The sequence below is a fragment of the Homo sapiens genome, chromosome 22 (assembly GCF_000001405.40).
Source record: "Homo sapiens chromosome 22, GRCh38.p14 Primary Assembly".
In the NCBI taxonomy this organism is placed as follows: Eukaryota; Metazoa; Chordata; class Mammalia; order Primates; family Hominidae; genus Homo; species Homo sapiens.
The window spans coordinates 41,314,509-41,332,947 of record NC_000022.11 but is presented as its reverse complement, the minus strand read 5'-3'; the positions used below and the strand labels follow the sequence as shown (position 1 = coordinate 41,332,947).

General features: G+C 52.7%; 1 protein-coding gene across 2 annotated transcripts in view, besides 1 other annotated feature; it reads right to left on the bottom strand.

The window, feature by feature from the left end:
- The window catches only part of ZC3H7B (zinc finger CCCH-type containing 7B), a 58,623-nt gene that overhangs the window by 27,200 nt on the left and 12,984 nt on the right, over window positions 1-18,439 (bottom strand). For both annotated transcript variants that reach the window (XR_007067960.1, NM_017590.6), the window contains exons 2-7: window positions 12,235-12,293; window positions 7,351-7,384; window positions 7,030-7,227; window positions 5,584-5,742; window positions 2,845-2,925; window positions 721-777 (exon numbers count right to left, since the gene is read on the bottom strand). Coding sequence is in view for 1 of the 2 variants with exons in the window: in NM_017590.6 (NP_060060.3) it covers window positions 721-777; window positions 2,845-2,925; window positions 5,584-5,742; window positions 7,030-7,227; window positions 7,351-7,384; window positions 12,235-12,287 (582 nt within the window). In the remaining variant the exon portion in view is untranslated. The remainder of the gene's footprint in view (window positions 1-720; window positions 778-2,844; window positions 2,926-5,583; window positions 5,743-7,029; window positions 7,228-7,350; window positions 7,385-12,234; window positions 12,294-18,439) is intronic.
- Window positions 8,302-8,802: an enhancer, noted in NCBI's record as "H3K27ac hESC enhancer chr22:41720150-41720650 (GRCh37/hg19 assembly coordinates)". NCBI's record gives its function as "activates a minimal SCP1, AML or CMV promoter by ChIP-STARR-seq in naive H9 embryonic stem cells {active_cell/tissue: H9 hESC(naive)}" and the evidence as "EXISTENCE:reporter gene assay evidence [ECO:0000049][PMID:30033119]".

The window sequence follows — 18,439 nt, the reverse complement described above, 5'->3', positions numbered from 1 at the left end:
TGACTGGGGTGCACAAGTGTCTTGGCCCTTGGGAGGAGTCCCCAACTCAGGACAGCACAGCAGCTATCCACAGTGACTGCCCACTGCATTTCCTGCTGGGTCGTGTGTGCCAGGTTATCAAGCACTTTCCTCCCTTGTTCCCGTTGAGGGATGGTCCGCATTTCAGAATGCAGAAACTGAAGGACCTGCCCAAGGCTGCAGGGCCCAGTTGGGCTCTTCCTTGTCAGAGTCCTCAGTCTCGGCTGCCCCTCCCAAGCAGAGTCACTGAGCCAGGGAGAGCAGGATGGGTTTCGGCAGGGGCATGCCCTTGAGCTGGGCTTTGAAAAGCGAAAAGACAGAGAAAGGCAGGGTGGGGAAGAGGAAGACATTTGAGGCCCAGGGGCCTGAACCTGCAGAAAGGCTGGTGAGAAAAAAGGCAACACAGCAGGAAATGTGGGGCAGGAGGCAGAAGGAAGGCGTGTGGGACCAGGCTGCCCAGACTGTGTCCTGGCCAGGGTTCAAGAGTGAGGCTGCCCCCGGCGGCTCCCCGGCAATGACCACTCCCTGCCAACAGCAGCCATGGCCTGTCCCCACATCCTGCCCCCGTGGACACGGGAGGTACCTCCTAGGGAGGCGGAGGCCCCTGGACCCACTGCCTGAGGTCATTTATACCCGGAGAGAGTGAATCCAAACCTCTCATAATGGATAAACTGAGACAGGTTGGTTCAGCCCCGATCCTACCTGATCTGCCACGCCAGCCGCAGTGCCGTTACTGAGCAGAGAAAAGGTTTCCAATTCCTGCCAGAGATTGGAGAGAGGTGGGCAGAGGTAAAGATTCTGAAAAGATGCTCAAGGTCCCCTTAGCTGGGGCAGCAAAGAGGCCCTGACACAAGCAGCTGGGGTCTGCAGCGCCCCCGAGAGTCCCTGTCCCCAGGCCTGCCGGAAATCAACTGCTCTGTCTCTCTGGGTCAGATTCTGGGGTTTTCTTCTTCCAACCTTGACCTGGGCAGAGGACCTCCCTGCACACCTCTACTGTGTGTCAGGCACCATGCTAGGCACCATCTCAAACATTCTATTTTTTTATTTGTTAATTTTTAAATTTTTTCTGAGACAGAGTCTCACTTTGTCCCCTAGGCTGGATGCAATCTCGGCTCTCTGCAGCCTTGACCTCTGGGGTTCATGTGATCCTCCCACCTCAGCCTCCCAAGTAGCTGAGACTACAGGCATGCACCACCACACCAGGCTAATTTTTGTACTTTTTGTAGAGATACGGTTTCGCCATGTTGCCCAGGCTGGTCTTGAACTCCTGAGCTCAAGCAACCTGCCCACCTCGGCCTCCCAAAGTACTACGATTATAGGCATGAACCACTGCACCCGGCCCATTTGCTCTCTCTTTTTTTTTTTTTTTTTTTTTGAGGCAGAGTCTCGCTCTGTTGCCCAGGCTGGAGTGCAGTGGCACGATCTCTGCTCACTGCAAGTCCCGCCTCCTGGGTTCACACCATTCTCCTGCCTCAGCCTTCAGAGTAGCTGGGACTACAGGCGCTCGCTACCACCCCCGCTAATTTTTTCGTATTTTTAGTAGAGACAGGCTTTCACTGCGTTAGCCAGGATGGTCTGGTCTCGATCTCCTGACCTCGTGATCCTCCCACCGCGGCCTCCCAAAGTGCTGGGATTACAGGCATGAGCCACCGCGCCCGGCCTTTTATTTATTTATTTTTTTTGAGACAGAGTTTCGCTCGTTGCCCAGGCTGGAGTGCAATGGTGCGATCTTGGCTCACCGCAACCTCCGCCTCCCGGGTTCAAGTGATTCTCAGCTGGGCGCGGTGGCTCACGCTTGTAATCCCAGCACTTTGGGAGGCTGAGGCGGGCGGATCACGAGGTCAGGAGATCGAGACCACGGTGAAACCCCATCTCTACTAAAAATATAAAAAATTAGCCGGGCGTGGTGGCGGGCGCCTGTAATCCCAGCTACTCGGAGAGGCCGAGGCAGAAGAATGGCGTGAACCCGGGAGGCGGAGCTTGCAGTGAGCTGAGATCGCGCCACTGCACTCCAGCACTACAGCCTGGGTGACAGAGCGAGAGTCCGTCTCAAAAAAAAAAAAAAAAAAAAGTGATTCTCCTGCCTCAGCCTCCCGAGTAGCTGGGATTACAGGCATGTGCCACCACCCCAAGCTAATTTTTGTATTTTTAGTAGAGATGGGGTTTCTACATGTTGATCAGGCTGGTCTCAAACTCCTGACCTCAGGTGATCTGCCCGCCTTGGCCTCCCAACGTGCTGGGATTACAGGCATGAGGCACTGCGTCCAGCCCATCCATTCTCTCTTTTTAATCCTCCCATGAGCCCTCTGGGGTGGGCATAAATTATCTCCATCGTCCAGATGAGGAAACCAAGGTGGAAAGAGATGAACTAACTTGCTCAAGGTCACAGCAGAGACTCGAGTCACGAGTTTCCCTTGTGCAGCCTCCTGGCCCTCGGCAGGTACCAAATGAATCTATGTGGAACTGAACCAGCCAAACAGATACCAACACTTCAAATTTGCACCATATGGGTGTTGAGAACATAATGCTGAAGGACGCCAGTGTCAACTCAGGCCACCTCCAGGTGACTAAAGTCAGCCAGCACAGGGGAGGGAGTGGTTTTCAACAGTTGGAGTCTAAAGTGAGCTAGAAGCGGTGGCTGCTCTCTCCTTTTCCGAAAGGTTCCAGGGCTTTCAGCCAACAGACAAGGAAGATCACCTGCTGTCACTCCCCTCTGTCCTAACCCAGCCCTGGCCACCCTCACCCACCTTCCCCACGGAGCCTGGTCCCTCCCTTCAGACCTCCTCACGTCCACACCGACCCTCCCAGGGTCCCGAACCCACCTACCTGGGGCCTCTTATACGCCTTGCGAACTCGCAGCCCCAGTTTCTGGGCCAGCTCCTGACCAAGCTGAGTCACGCTTTCATCCTGCAGAGGACAAGACACAGGGCGGTGGGTCAGTCTGCCCGGGCTCACAAAGCTGTGCTCCTGGACACCTGTGCAGCCCTACGGAGGGAGGTCATAGTCACCCCATGTTATAGATGAGAAAGTGAGGCCCCAGGAGGTGTCCCTGGCTTGTCCAAGTCACACAGCTAGTGAGTGGTGGCACCAGGACCACCATCCCATGCTTCTGTTTTTCCTTTTATTTGGGGATGGAAAATGAATCATTTTGTTTTTATTTTAATATAATCTTTTTATTTCTAAAATTCAGCAAAAGTGACAATGTCACTGTAGAAGGGAAGAATGTTACAGGGACAGCAAGTGCTCCCTGGATCTCCCCCTTCACCCTAGGCTTCTCCAGGAGGGAATCACACTCTGCTGGGCTGATGTGTTTCCTTAGGGCTCTTTTCTAGGAATGCATGCATGCAGACCTATAAAGAATGCTTACTTCTGGCTGGGCACAGTGGCTCATGCCTGTAATCCCAGCACTTTGGGAGGCAGAGGTGGGCGGATCACCTGAGGTCAGGAGTTCAAGACCAGCCTGGCCAACATGGTGAAACCCCATCTCTACCAAAAATAGAAAAATTAGCCGGGCATGGTGGTGGGTGCCTGTAATCCCAGCTACCTGGGAGGCTGAGGCAGGAGAATCGCTTGAACTCAGGAGGCAGTGGTTGCAGTGAGCCAAGACTGCGCCGCTGCACTCCAGCCTGGACGACAGAGCAAGACCCTGTCTCAAAAAAAAAAAAAAAAAAGCTTAGTTTTGTTTTGTGGGGATTTGGGGATTGTCTCTTTCTTTTTGATTTTTTGAGATGGAGTCTTGCTCAGTCACCCAGGGTGGAGTGCAGTGGCGCGATCTCAGCTCACTACAACCTTTGCCTCCTGAGTTCAAGAGATTCTCCTGCCTCAGCCTTCGCGTAGCTGGGATTACAGGCATGTGCCACCATGCCCAGCTAATTTTTTTTTTTTTTTTTTTTTTTTTGTATTTTAGTAGAGACAGGGTTTCACCATGTTGGCCAGGCTGGTCTTGAACTCCTGACCTCAAGTGATCCACCCGCCTCGGCCTCCCAAAGTGTTGGGATTACAGGCGTGAGCCACTGTGCCCGGCCATCTCTTTCTTTTTTTAAACAGGAATGAGGTCACATTATATAGTTCTACAACTTGTTTCTATCGCCAAACAATCTCCTGCAACCCCCAGCAAGTGACGATACATACATGAGGCACAGGGTTGTAAGGCTCCAAGGAGGCAGGGCATAGAAAGCTTGTAACAGTGCCTGGACCACACTTAGTGATCACTAAACAGCAACCATCCTTCCTTCCCTTCCAAGGCTGTAATACAGAACATACACTACGTGCCAAGCAAGAGTGAGGGGCTAAGGATACCCCAGCGAACAGGGCAGATGGGCCCAGGCCTCATGGAGATTCCAATCTAAAGGGGGAGAACAGTCAGTGAACAAAGAAACAGGTGGCTACAAACTGGGGTCCAGGCACAAAAGGGCAAGGAAGACACTGTGACATCTGTGCACGTGTCTACCTCCTACCTCACTGACAATCTCCTAGAGGCCAGGGCCTGGGTCGGAGTCATCTCTGGTCCCCAGTGCCCAGCATGGAGCAGGAGCTCGGTCAGTATTTGCCCAACAAAGATTGGGAAAAGAGAGAGTTCCCTAAAGCAGAGCCAGGAGCCCTTAGTTACTTTCCCTGGCCATTTACTAACCCTAACTGGGTCCCAGCTCCTTTCTATCCGCTGTGGTGCGGATGAAACCTGCCCTGTCCTCCTCATGAGTAAGTACCAGTGAGACCTAGGTGTGGATCTGTTGTGGACACTCTAAAATGCTATATGGGTCAGGGGACCATGGTCATAAAGAAAGGCTTTTTTTTTTTTTAATAGACAAGCTCTTGCTTTGTCAAACTCAGGCTGAAGTGCAATGGTGCAATCACAGCTCACTGCAACCTCCACCTCCTGGGCTCAAGTGATCCTCCCACCTCAGCCTCCTGAGTAGCTGGGATCTCAGGTGCGTGCCATCATGCCCAGCTAATTTTTTTTTAATTTTTTGTTGAAACAGGGTCTTGCTATGTTGCTCAGGCTAGTTGCAAACTCCTGAGCTCAAGTGATCCTCCCGCCTTGGCCTCCCACAGTGCTGGGATTACAGGCATGAGCCACTGTGTCTGGCCAAGAAAGGGTCTTAATTGTGAACTAAACAGAATTAGCAAAACAGGCACACGCCATCATGCCCGGCTAAATTTTGTATTTTTTGTAGAGATGGGGTTTTGCCATGTTGGCCAGGCTGGTCTCAAACTCCTGACCTCAGGTGATCCGCCTGCCTCAGCCTCCGAAAGTGCTGAGATTACAGGCGTGAGCCACTGTGTCTGGCCTCATCATCTTTAAAATGAGAATAATCACAGTATCTGCCTCTTAGGGTTATTGCCAGTATTAGGTGAGTTAATACACACAATGCATCCTAGCAGTGCCTGGCACCCAGTCAGCGCTCAGAGAATGGGAGCTAGTGTTAACATCAGGATCTGCATGGCCATGTCACAGGGGAGGAAGTGAGACACAGAAGGATGTGGTGGCTGGGCCCAAGTGAGGGCCGGAAGGTCAGAAGCCTGGCCTCTGAGCAGGCACCGGCGTGGCTGCAGAGCCACACTCACGTGGGGCAGGGCGAGGGAACACCGGCTGCTGCACTCGTAGGCCTCCTTGTGGCGTCCCAGTTCATTGAGAGCGCGTGCCTTGCGGAACAACGCCCGGATACTCTCACTGTCCAGGCCCAGCGCCTTCTCGCTGTCCTCCAGCGCCTTCTCATACAGGCCCTGCCAGAGAGGAGCATGTGGTCACTGGTCAACACCTGTTACCCTCCCTCCCCCAGGCCTCCTGCCCCTGCCTAGGAAGGAACACCAGCTTCCCTTCCTGGCAGAGACAGAGGAGCTGAAGTCTTGGGTCAGGGACAGGGCTCGAGGCTCCAGGAGAGAAGGAAGCACTCTGGTGTCCAGACTCTGATCAAGGGTGTCTGTGTGTCCAGCTGATGGGGCTGCAGTGGGCACGGGCAGGATATTGCAGGGAAGGGCCTGAAGATCTACAACCATGAGCCCGGCCACTCAAGCACGTCTATTTCCATCTCTGCCTTTGGTTGGGAACATGATGAGCTGAGAGTAACAATGGCATCTCTAAGAGGCAGTGAGACCATGAAGGCAGCTCTGTGTGCAGAGTGTACAAGGGTTAACCCTGAGGCATCCAGGAGCCATTTATCCAGAAGAGTTCGCTGGATGGCAGAGGTGTCATGGGGTCCTCTAGAGAGCCTGCAGCAGAGCCTCCCACAGGATCTCATGAACCTGAGTCAGTGGGTGCACAGGACAGGGAAGAGGAGGAGGCTGCAGCTCTAAGGAGGAGAGGAGGAGGAGGAGGAAGGCACTGAAGTCCGCAAAGAAACAGGAGGCTGAGGCTATGGGAGAAACAGTGAGGAGGCTGAGGCTATGGGAGGAACAGTGAGGAGGCTGAGGCTATGGGAGGAACAGTGAGGAGGCTGAGACTATGGGAGGAACAGTGAGGAGGCTATGGAAGAAACAGTGAGGAGGCTATGGAAGAAACAGTGAGGAGGCTGAGGCTATGGGAGGAACAGTGAGGAGGCTACGGAAGAAACAGTGAGGAGGCTGAGGCTATGGGAGGAACAGTGAGGAGGCTGAGGCTATGGGAGGAACAGTGAGGAGGCTGAGGCTATGGAAGGAACAGTGAGGAGGCTGAGGCTATGGAAGAAACAGTGGGGCCGGGAGGGAGGAGCAGGAGAAGTCAGACTCCCACCAAGGCCCAGGGTCACCCCAAGATTCTAACTTACTTCATCTAGGGCAGGGCTAGGGCTAGGGCATCAGTATCATTTTTTTTAAAAACTTTTTATTATGCATCCGTACTTTTAAAAGCTCTCCAGCTGAGCATGTTGTACAGTTGAGATTAAGAGCCACGAGAACAGACAATGAAATTCTGAAAGCAGGCTGGGAGGAGGCTGGCCCTGGTCTACAGGCTCACTGGGGTATGGGCCTGGCTCGACTGGGCATCCAGGGGATCAGGGCAGCAGAGGAGGAGAGAAAAGAGGGTGCCAGGCTCACCATGGTGAAGTAGCAGGCGGCCCTATTGACATGCAGCTTGCACAGCAGCTCCCGGGGCAGGGCCACCTGGTCAGAGGCAGCGTAGTCGGCCACGTTCAGCCCTTCCATGTACTGCACCAGAGCCTGCTTATAGTCCTTCTCCCGGAACAGATCATTGCCCTCAGCAAACAGATTCTGCACCAGCTTGAGCAGAAAGGCCTGTTGGGGGCAAGGTGTGTAGGGGGCTCATGACCTCTGGCCCCAGCTCTGGCACCCGGCCCACGCCTCTCCCCTGCACATCTCCGCCCTTCACCTTTGCTCAGCCTGGCAGCTGACACTCACCTCATATTCTTCTTGCTTTAGGGGTAGTGTCGACCTATCAGGAAAAGAAAACACGAGGCCTGGGTGAGCCCGGCGGTCCCAGCTTCATGGAGGTCCAGAGCTACTCCTCCAACTCAGACCTCAGCCATCACCTTGTGGACTAGGGTGAACAGACTGCGGTTTTCTTCTCCTAAATCATTGCCATGCAGGCCTTCCAGTTCTGATGGAAGGACCTGCATGTTCCTTGGGGCCAGACAGCCAGGTTTTGCCAGGTACAGGTGTTGAGAAAGAGCAGACTGACCCCAGCCCCACCTCCAGCCTGGCCCCAGTTCCAGCCCCACTTCCAGCCACAGCCCCAGCTCCAGCCCCAACCCAGACAGCCCCAGCCCCAAGCCAGTCCTAGCCCAGCTCAGTTCCAGCTCTACCTCTGGCCCTGGACCTAGCCCCAGTCCCTGCTGCTGAAAAAAACAGCCATCCTCTGCTGAAAAAACCAGCCCTCTCCTAAAGGAAAGCAGGCATTCCAAGCCCTTTCTCAGTTACATGAGGGGAAGGAGGGAGGAGCCACACTTGGGCCTAGGAGGCCCCCAGGACTGGAAAAGGACAAGAGGAAAATCAGACTCTGGCCAAGGCAGAGCGGGGGAAGGCTCCAGCTGCAGCTGAAGGCCAGGAGGAGAGGATGGTGCAGGGGCTGCTGCAGCAGGAGTGCCAGGGACAGGAGCAGGCAGGAAAAGGCAGGAAGTATGAGTGTTGTCAGGGAATTAACACCTAGAACAGGCCTTGGGAAGGACCACGCCCCATCAAACCAAATCCGAGACCACAGGTCCACAGACACTGAGGCACCGGGAGTCCACCTCAGGCCCCTCCCCTGCCCAATCCCACATAACACACGCCCCACCCAATGCCAGGTCTTCACTGAGCCTGTCAGTCCCTCATGCTGGACTCAACAAATCATTCTAGGTGGGGTCTGGGCACCTGCTCCCTCCTGTGGCTAATGCTCCCTCAGTATGAAAGAGGGCATCAGCCCAGGAGAACTGAGGTTCATCTCTCCAATGGGCTCAATGGCCAGGCTGGAAGGGAAGCTGGGCTTTGTCTCCCAGTCCTTCATTCCACAGAGGGAAAAACAGACGCTCAGAGTGGCGCAAGGACTCGCCCAAGGCTGCTTGGCAGGAAGGCATCGGATGCAGGGCTGGGGAGATCTTTCCGTTGCCTGGAGATGCTGCCAGCACCTGGGCAGGAAAGAGTGGCCTAGGCTAGTGCGTGAGAGGTGGGCAGAGGCGCAACGCCAGGAGGGCTGTGTATGCACATGCGTGTGGAAGGTGTCCCCAGTTGTGACATCGGGGCTCACCAGCCCACCTCTCACTTGCCTCCCCACTGTCTGGGCCCCAGACCTGCCCTCCCTCCCCATACTGCTGCAGTGTCTGTCTCCTCTGTTGCCCCCACTAAAGACCCCATCACTACCTTCCTGGCCTCCTGCCTCCAGCCTACCCTCTTCCAGCATCAACTCTACCTTTCATAGGTCATGCGGTCCTAAGACATCTTTTTTTTTTTCCAGACAGAGTCTCGCTGTGTCGCCCAGGCTGGAGTGCAGTGGCCCAATCTCGGCTCACTGCAACCTCCACCTCCCGGGTTCACGCCATTCTCCTGCCTCAGCCTCCAGAGTAGCTGGGACTACAAGCGCCCGCCACCACGCCTGGCTAATTTTTTGTATTTTTAGTAGAGACAGGGTTTCACCATGTTAGCCGGGATGGTCGGGATCTCCTGACCTCATGATCCGCCTGCCTTGGCCTCCCAAAGTGCTGGGATTACAGGCATGAGCCACCGCGCCCGGCCGTAGACATCTTAAGGTCCTCTGCAAGCTGGGGCCAACCCACCTGTCCCAATTCACTTAGGGCTCTCAGGACGTGCTAAGCACATGAAGCACACGTGCACCAACACAGCGTAGGAGGAGTGGGGCAAAAATAGCGGGACTGATGTGAAAAGCAGTGAGTCCCACTGTGCTTCCTGCAAAGCCTTAGGAGGCCAACAGACGGCTTCGGGGAGGCTGCCTTGTAGCTGGGCCTTCCTAGAACGCCCCTTTGGAAAGGAGAAGGAGGGGACGAGAGTGAACATTTACCCCAAGCACCACCTGGTCCCTTAACCTTCACAATGACCCCGTAGGGGAAATGGGAGAACTGGGCTGGGAATCCAGCTCTACAGACATCAGTGACTGAGGCTGGGGACACAGAACTCTTCTTATGGAAGACAGCAGTGGCCGGAGTCACCTTGTTCACCAGACTGGCCTCTGAATAAATTGGAACACTTCCCCAAAATCAAACCCTCACTCCCCAAAATGGGAGAGGACCTGCCGCCCATGAAGAGAGATGAGCTAGCAACCGCTCTGATGAACAAGTCTGAGGAGGGTTTGCAAACTCCCAGCCATGGCAGCAAGGTGGGGTTGGACAACAGCCCAGGGAAGGGGTGCTGAACTTGGGGCCATGCTCTAGGTGCACCCAAAACCCCTAATCAAATCAGCCCAGCGCAGGACACCCTCCAGAAGCGGCCAGGAAAAGTGACTGCGTTGTGCGCTGAGGAAGGAGAATGTGTTGTGTCAATATGAACACTCGCTCTGTGAGAGCAGCATGGATACCGAGGGCGTGTGAAAAGGGACCCAGTCTGCGGTGACATGGGTGAGAAAAGGCAAGGGAGTACGCTGGGCACAGCAGCACGCGCCTGCAATCCCAGCTACGTGGGAGGCTGAGGTAGGAAAACTGCTTGAGCCCGGGAGATTGAGACCTGCCTGGGCAACACAGGGAGACCCCATCACAAAGAAAAGAAAAGGCAAAGAGTGTTTTACTGGTCTGTGTGAGAGAACAAAAGTGGGGAGTATATAAGGGAACATAGAGGCGAATTCCAGTTTTATGGGGAGCCCTATTTAAGAAAAAGAACACAAAATGATGAACGCAGGATTGCAAGGGTGCATGCCTTCCAGGGCCTCGGAAGGGGCTCGTGCAAGTGAGAGGCCACGATGCCCACGCTTCATTAGTGTTGTGATAATTATGCCTCTGAGGATCTATTTAAGAGCAATAAGAGAAAAAGGTTACTCAAAATATTTTGTGTGTAAAAAAAAAGAGAAATAAAACAAAAACAAATGTCGGGCTGGATGCGGTGGCTCACACCTATAATCCCAGCACTTTGGGAGGCCGAGGAGGGCAGATCACGAGGTCAGGAGTTCAAGACCAACCTGACCAACATGGTGAAACCCCGTCTCTACTAAAAATACGAAAATTAGCTAGGTGTGGTGGCAGGCGCCTGTAATCCCAGCTACTCAGGAGGCTGAGGCAGGAGAATTGCTTGAATCTGGGAGGTGGAGGTTGCAGTGAGCCGAGATCGCACCACTGCGTTCCAGCCTGGACAAGAGTGAGACTCCATCTCAAAAACAAACAAAAAAAAAGTGTGGCATGTGGGTGCTCAGAGGCATACAATAGAAAGAATGTGAGTTTTGGCCGGGCGCGGTGGCTCACGCCTGTAATCCCAGCACTTTGGGAGGCCGAGGCGGGCGGATCACGAGGTCAGGAGATCGAGACCATCCCAGCTAAAACGGTGAAACCCCGTCTCTACTAAAAATACAAAAAATTAGCCGGGCGTAGTGGCGGGCGCCTGTAGTCCCAGCTACTTGGGAGGCTGAGGCAGGAGAATGGCGTGAACCCGGGAGGCGGAGCTTGCAGTGAGCCGAGATCCCGCCACTGCACTCCAGCCTGGGCGACAGAGCGAGACTCCGTCTCAAAAAAAAAAAAAAAAAAAAAAAAAAAAGAATGTGAGTTTTGAGTTTTGTGGTCAACCAGGCTTGGGCTAGAATGCTATTCCTCAATAGCTCCATGACCTTAAACAAGTTGCTTAACCTCTGTGAGTCTCAACTTTCTCATCTGCAAAATGGAAATAAGGCTACCTACTTTACTGGGCTGTTGAGAAGATTAAAAAGATGATGGATTGGCCAGGCACAGTGACTCATGTCTGTAATCCCAGCACTTTGGGAGGCTGAGGCAGGAGGATCACTTGAGCCCAGGAGTTTGAGACCAGCCTGGGCAACATAGCAAGACCTCGTCTCTACAAAAAAATTTTTTAAATGGCCTAGTGCGGTGGCTCACGCCTGTAATCCCAGCACTTTGGGAGGCCGAGGTGGGTGGATCACCTGAGGCCAGGAGTTCAAGGCAGCCTGGCCAACATGGCAAAACCCCATCTCTACTAAAAATACAAAAATTAGCCAGGCATGGTGGCACACACCTGAAATCCCAGCTACTCGAGAGGCTGAGGCAGGAGAATCGCTTGAACCCAGGAGGCAGAAGTTGCAGTAAGCCGAGATCATGTCACTGCACTCCAGCCTGGGCAACAGGGCAAGACTCTGTCTCAAAAAAAAAAAAAAAAAAAATTAGCTGGGTATGGTGGTGTGCACCTATGCTCCCAGCTACATGGGAGGTGGAGGCAGGATTGCTTGAGTCCAGGAGGTCAGGAGCACCATTCACTCCAGCCAGGGCAACAAGGAGAGATTCTGTCTCAAAGAAGACACAGATGTGAAGGTCCCAGCACGGAGACTGAGATTGTAACAGAGGGACCATTGATTTATCAGAAAACTCGTGCAGTCATGCAAGAGAATTAACAGGGAGTGCAAATGTGAAGGGTGAGGGCAGAATTACCTACTGGACAAGATTGAAGGGTAACCTGGGCCAGGGAGCATGTGTGCATGTGGAGTTCACGCACAGCCACACCAGCCCCTTCCTGGCTCCTCCCACCTGCCCGCACCCCAGCGCACACAGGAGCCTTGGCAGCAAAGGCTCAGCAGCAAGAAAAGGGAGCGCTGGGAGGGCATGGCTCTCAGAGAACCCACCCTTGCCCACCCAGCCGTCCAGCCCCTGCCGCATGCAGGCTTACTGAATGAACTGCAGCCCTTTCTCGATGTCCGCCTTCCGTTTCTGCCTCTCCATCAGTCTCTGGGGAAGAGAGCACAGTCCATCAGTCAGTCAGCAAGAGCCAGGCTGCCGTCAGCCACCACCACTTCGTGGGTCCTGTGATTGGGTGCTCTCACTCCCACTCTCATTCCCTTCCCCATGTCGGGAGGCGTGTCCCTGAGGGCGATGACCACCCTCAGGCCAGTGTCCTCCACCCCCATGGCCCCCTGGACTCCTAGATTGTGTGGTACCCTCAAGGGACAAGGGGGCATAGAGGGCACCTGCCCTTTCCCACACAGGCTTGAGCTACAATACCGTATGGACACCCTCAAGTTCAAGGGAAAACTCTTTTTTTTTTTTTTTTTGGATACAGAGTCTCCCCTGTTACCCAGGCTGAGTGCAATGGCGCCATCTCGGCTCACTGCAACCTCCGTTTCCTGGGTTCAAGTGATCCTCTTGCCTCAGCCTCCCGAGTAGCTGGGATTACAGGAGCCCACCATCATGCCCAGCTAATTTTTGTATTTTTAGTAGAGACGAGGTTTCGCCATGTTGACCAGGCTGGTCTCGAACACCTGACCTCAGGTAATTCATCTGCCTCAGCCTCCCAAGGTGCGGGGATGACAGGCATGAGTCACTATGCCCGGCCCCCCATTTTTTTTTTTTTTTGAGATGGAGTCTCGCTCTATTGCCCAGACTGGAGTGCAGTGATGCAATCTCAGCTCACTGCAACCTCCACCTCCTGGGTTCAAGCGATTCTCCTGCCTCAGCCTCTGGAGTAGCTGGGAATCCAGGCATGCACTACCACGCACCCAGATAATTTTCATATTTTTAGTAGAGACAGGGTTTCATTATGTTGGCCAGGCTGGTTTCAAACTCCTGACCTCAGGTGATCCGCCTGCTTTGGCCCCCCAGAGTGCTAGGATTACAGGCGTTAGCCACTGTGCTCAGCCAACAAAGGCTTTCTTTTAGAGCATATGTTCTAGTGGAGAGGCACACGACAATAAATATATCACATAATATAGGAAGGATACACGCAATTAAGAAAAAATAATAAGATAGAGTGACAGGGTGCTATAATTCTGAGCAGTCTGAGAGGCCACTTTGACCTTTTTTTTTTTTTTTTTTTTTAGCCGGAGACTCACTCTGTTGCCCAGGCTGGAGTGCAGTGGTGTGATCTCAGCCCACTCCAACCTCCACCTCCCGGTTTCAAGTGATTCTTGTGCTTCAGCCTCCCAAGTAGCTGGGACTATAAGCACTTGCCACTATGCCCGGCTACTTTTTGCTTTGTTTTTTTTTGAGAGGGAGTTCTGCTCTGTCGCCCAGGCTGGAGTGCAGTGGCGCGATCTTGGCTCACTGCAACCTCCACCTCCCGGGTTCAAGCGATTCTTCTGCCTCAGCCTCCTGAGTAGCTAGGACTACAGGCACGTGCCACCATGCCTAGCTAATTTTTTGTATTTTTAGTAGAGAGGGGGTTTCACCGTGTTAGCCAGGATGGTCTCGATCGCCTGACCTCGTGATCTGCCCACCTTGGCCTCCCAAAGTGCTGGGATTACAGGCGTGAGCCACTGTGCCCAGCCTTTTTGTATTTTTAGTACAGATGGGGTTTCACCATGTTGGCCAGGCTAGTCTCAAACGCCTGACCTCAAGTGATCCACCCATCTCAGCCTCCCAAAGTGCTGGAATTATAGGCATCAGCCACTGCGCCTGGCTCACTTTGACATTTGAATGGAGATCTACGTGTATGATGTGAGGGAGCCAGCCCTGTGGATACCTGGTGGGAAAGGGCTCCGGGCAGAGGGAACAGTGAGTGCAAAGGTCCTGAGGGAGATGCCTTGTTGGTGTATCTGAGAATGTGCAAGGAGGCTGGTGAGGATGGAGCAGAGTGGGCAGTGGGGAGGGTGGTGAATAGGAAGGTCAGAGAGATTAGCAGGAAGACCACATGTAGAGGTATTTTCATTTTCTTTTCTGAGACGGTTTCACTCTGTTGCCCAGAATGGCATGATCACTGCAGCCTCAAACTCCTGGGCTCAAGGGATCCTCCCACTTCAGCCTCCCAAGCAGCTGAGATCACAGGCGCGCGCCACCATGCCTCGCTAACCTTTAAAATTTTTTGTAGAGACAAGGTCTCACTATGTTGCCCAGGCTGGTCTTTTTTTTTTTTTTTTTTTGAGGCGGAGTCTTGCTCTGTTGCCCAGGCTGGAGTGCAGTGGCACAATCTTGGCTCACTGCACGCTCCGCCTCCCAGGTTCACGCCATTCTCCTGCCTCAGCCTCCCGAGTAGTTGGGACTACAGGCGCCTGCCACCACACCCGGCTAATTTTTTGTATTTTTAGTAGAGATGGGGTTTCATCATGTTAGCCAGGATGGTCTTGATCTCCTGAGCTCGTGATCTGCCCGCCTCGGCCTCCCAAAGTGCTGGGATTACAGGCGTGAGCCACCGCGCCCAGCCTCTCAGGCTGGTCTTAAACTCCTGGTCTCAAGTGATCCTCCCACCTCAGCCTCCTAAAGTGATGGGATGACAGGCATGAGCCACGTGTGTCACCCAGCCCATAGAGGTTTTGTAGACGGGGCAGACTGTGGATTCCACCCTAAGGTAGAGGAGTCACAGGAGCTTTTAAACAAAAGGGCCACTCTATGTCTAGCTTTGCTCTACAAAAAAATGTGTTGTCACTAAATAACTGAGATTTATTTAAATCTCACAACATCCCCATCAGGCAGGAAAATAGTACTCCAAGAGGCTAGGAAAGTTATTCAAAGCCATGCAGTCAGCCTGGATCCTGGGTTCAGTGACACCGCAGAGATGGGCATCAGGCAGCCTGATTAACAATGCGTCAGGAGACCAAAGGCCCCAGCCCTACAGGCACCTAACAGCCCACACCCTTCCCTCCTCTGGGAAAAAAATTTCTTTGTTTTGAGATAGGGTCTCGCTCTGTTGCCCAGGATGGAGTGCAGTGGTGTGATCTTGGCTCACTGCAGCCTCCATCTCCTGGGCTCAACTGATCTTCCCCCCTCAGCCTCCTGAGTAGCTGGGACCACCACACATGGCTAATTTTTGTATTTTATTTTTTTTTTAGAGATGGGGTTTTGCCATGTTGCCCAGGCTGGTCTCGAACTCCTGGGCTCAAGAAATCCTCCCACCTGAGTCTCCCACAGTGCTGGGAATATAGGCATGAGCCACTGCGCCCAGCCAGAAAATTCTTATAGGGAGGGTGTTACGGCCTGGACGTTTGTGCCCCCTCTCCCATTCATATGTTGAAGCCCTAAACCCTATATTTGGAGACAGGGCCCATAAGGAGCTAATTAAGGTTAAATCAGGTTATGATTCAATATTTTGTTGGATGAATTCTCTCTCTGCACCACATGGCTGTTGCCCAGGAATGGGGGAAGGATGGTATTGGCAATTCAAGACTGTCTTTCTGGCCGGGCACGGTGGCTCATGCCTATAATCTCAGCATTTGGGAGGCCGAGGTGGGTGGATCACCTGAGGTCAGGAGTTCGAGACCAGCCTGGCCAACATGGTGAAACCCCATCTCTACCAAAAATATAAAAATTAGCTGGGGGCCAGGCACGGTGGCTCACGCCTGTAATCCCAGCACTTTGGGAGGCTGAGGCAGGCGGATAACGAGGTCAAGACCAGCCTGGCCAACATGGTGAAACACTGTCTCTACTAAGAATACAAAAATTAAGTCAGTTGGGCGTGATGGTACATGCCTGTAATCCCAGCTACTCGGGAGGCTGAGACAGGAAAATCGCTTGAATCCAGGAGGCAGAGGTTGTAGTGAGCGAAGATTGTGCCACTGCACCCCAGCCTGGGCGACAGAGCAAGACTCTTCTCAAAAAAGAAAAGAAAAAAAATTAGCTGGGCATGGTGGCACACGCCTGTAATCCTAGCTACTCAGGAGGCTAAGGCAGGAGAATCGCTTGAACCTGGGAGGCAGAGGTTGCAGTGAGCCAAGATTGCGCCGTTGCACTACAGCCTGGGCAACAGAGCAACTAACTGAGCCCAGGAAGTTAAGGCTGCAGTGAACCGTGATCGTGCCACTGCACTCCAGCTTGGGCAACAGAGTGAGACCCTGTCTCAAAAAAAAAAAAAAAAAAAAGGCCAGGTGTGGTGGCTTACAGCTGTTAAGTCCAGCACTTTCGGAGGCCAAGGTGCGTGGATCACCTGAGGTCAGGAGTTTGAGACCAGCCCAGCCAACATGGTGAAACCCTGTCTCTACTAAAAATACAAAAATTAGCTGGGTGCGATGGCATGCGCCTGTAATCCCAGCTTCTCCGGACGGTGATGCTGGAGAATTGCTTGAACCTGGGAGGCGGAGGTTGCAGTGAGCCAAGATCACGCCGCTGCACTCCAGCCTGGGCAACAGAGCGAGACCCTGTTCAAAAAAAGAAAAAAAAAAAAATGGCCAGGCATGGTGGCTTACTCCTATAATCCCAGCACTTTGGGAGGCCAAGGTTGGCGGATAACCTGAGGTTGGAAGTTTGAGACCAGCCTGACCAACATGGAGAAACCCCATCTCTACTAAAAATACAAAATTAGCTGGACATGGTGGCGCATTCCTATAATCCCAGTTACTCAGGAGGCTGAGGCAGGAGAATCACTTGAACCTGGGAGGTGGAGGTTGTGGTGAGCCGAGATAGCGCCATTGCACTCCAGCCTGGGCAACAAGAAACAAGGGAGAAACTCCGTCTCAAAAAAAAAAAAAAACTATTTGGATAGAATGAATGTATTTTGTATGTGATAAGGTCGTGAATTTGGGGGGATGAAGGGTAGAATGTTATAGACTGAATGTCTGTGTCCTCCCCAAATTCATATGCTGAAGCTCTAATCTCTAATGTGACTATATCTGAAGATAGGGCCTATACAGAAGTACCTGTAATTAAGGTTAAATGAGGGCATAAGGGTAGGGCCCTGATCCAACAGGATTACTGTCCTTATAAGAGACACTAGCAAGCTTGCTCTTCCTCTGTTTCCTCCCTTGCATGCACCAAAGAAAGGCCATGTGAGGACACAGTGAGGTCTGTAAGCCAGGAAGAGAGCCCTCACCAAAAATCAAACAGGCCAGCACACTGACTAGGACTCCCAGTCTCCAAAACTGTAAAGAAATAAATTTCTGTTGTTTAAGCCACTCAGTCTATGGTATTTTGATATGGCAACCTATGCAGACTAACACAGTGGTTAAAAGGTCATTTATTCTCAGTTAAAGAGGGAGGTACGGCTGGGCTTAGTGGCTCATACCTGTAATTGGGAGGCTGAGGTGGGAGGATCGCTTGAGCCCAGGAGTTCAAAACCAGCCCAGGCAACATAGCAAGACTCCATTTCTACAAAAAAAAAAAAAAAAAACACTAGAAATTAGCTGGATATAGTGGTACATGCCTGTAGTCCCATCTACTCAGGAAGCTGTGCTGGAAGGATTGCTTGTGCCCAGGAGGTCAAGGATGCACTGAGCCGAGATCGTGCCACTTGTACTCTAGCACTCTAGCACGTGCGTGTGGAAGGTGTCCCCAGTTGTGACATCGGGGCTCACCAGCCCACCTCTCACTTGCCTCCCTGCTGTCTGGGCCAGCCTGGGCAACTGAGTGAGACCCTGTCTCAAAGAACAAAAAGAGAGGGAGGTGAGCATCTTGAAAGCGTGTGTCAGGCATGACTCAGAGAAGGCACCTGGTGGAGGAGCAAGAAGCATATAGGCCAAACAAACCTCCAGGATCAGATTTTTTAAATTTTTATTATTTATTTATTTTTTTTGGAGACAGGGTCTTGCCTGTATTTTTAAGTAATAATAATGATTGGCCGGGCATGGTGACTCATGCCTGTAAACCCAGCACTTTGGGAGGCCGATGCGGGCAGATCACGAGGTCAGGAGTTTGAGACCAGCCTAGCCAATATAGTGAAACCCTGTCTCTACTAAAAATACAAAAATTAGCCAGGTGTGGTGGCACACGCCTGTAGTCCCAGCTACTTGGGAGGCTGAGGCAGAAGAATCACTTGAACCCATGAGGCAGCGGTTGCAGTGAGCCGAGATCGTGCCACTGCACTCCAGCCTGGGTGACAAAGCAAGACTCCGTCTCAAAAAATAAAATAAAATAAAAAAATAATAATGATGATTATGGGCCGCACATGGTGACTCATGCCTGTAATCCCAGCACTTTGGGAGGCGAAGTGGGAGCATCACTTGATCCCAGGAGTT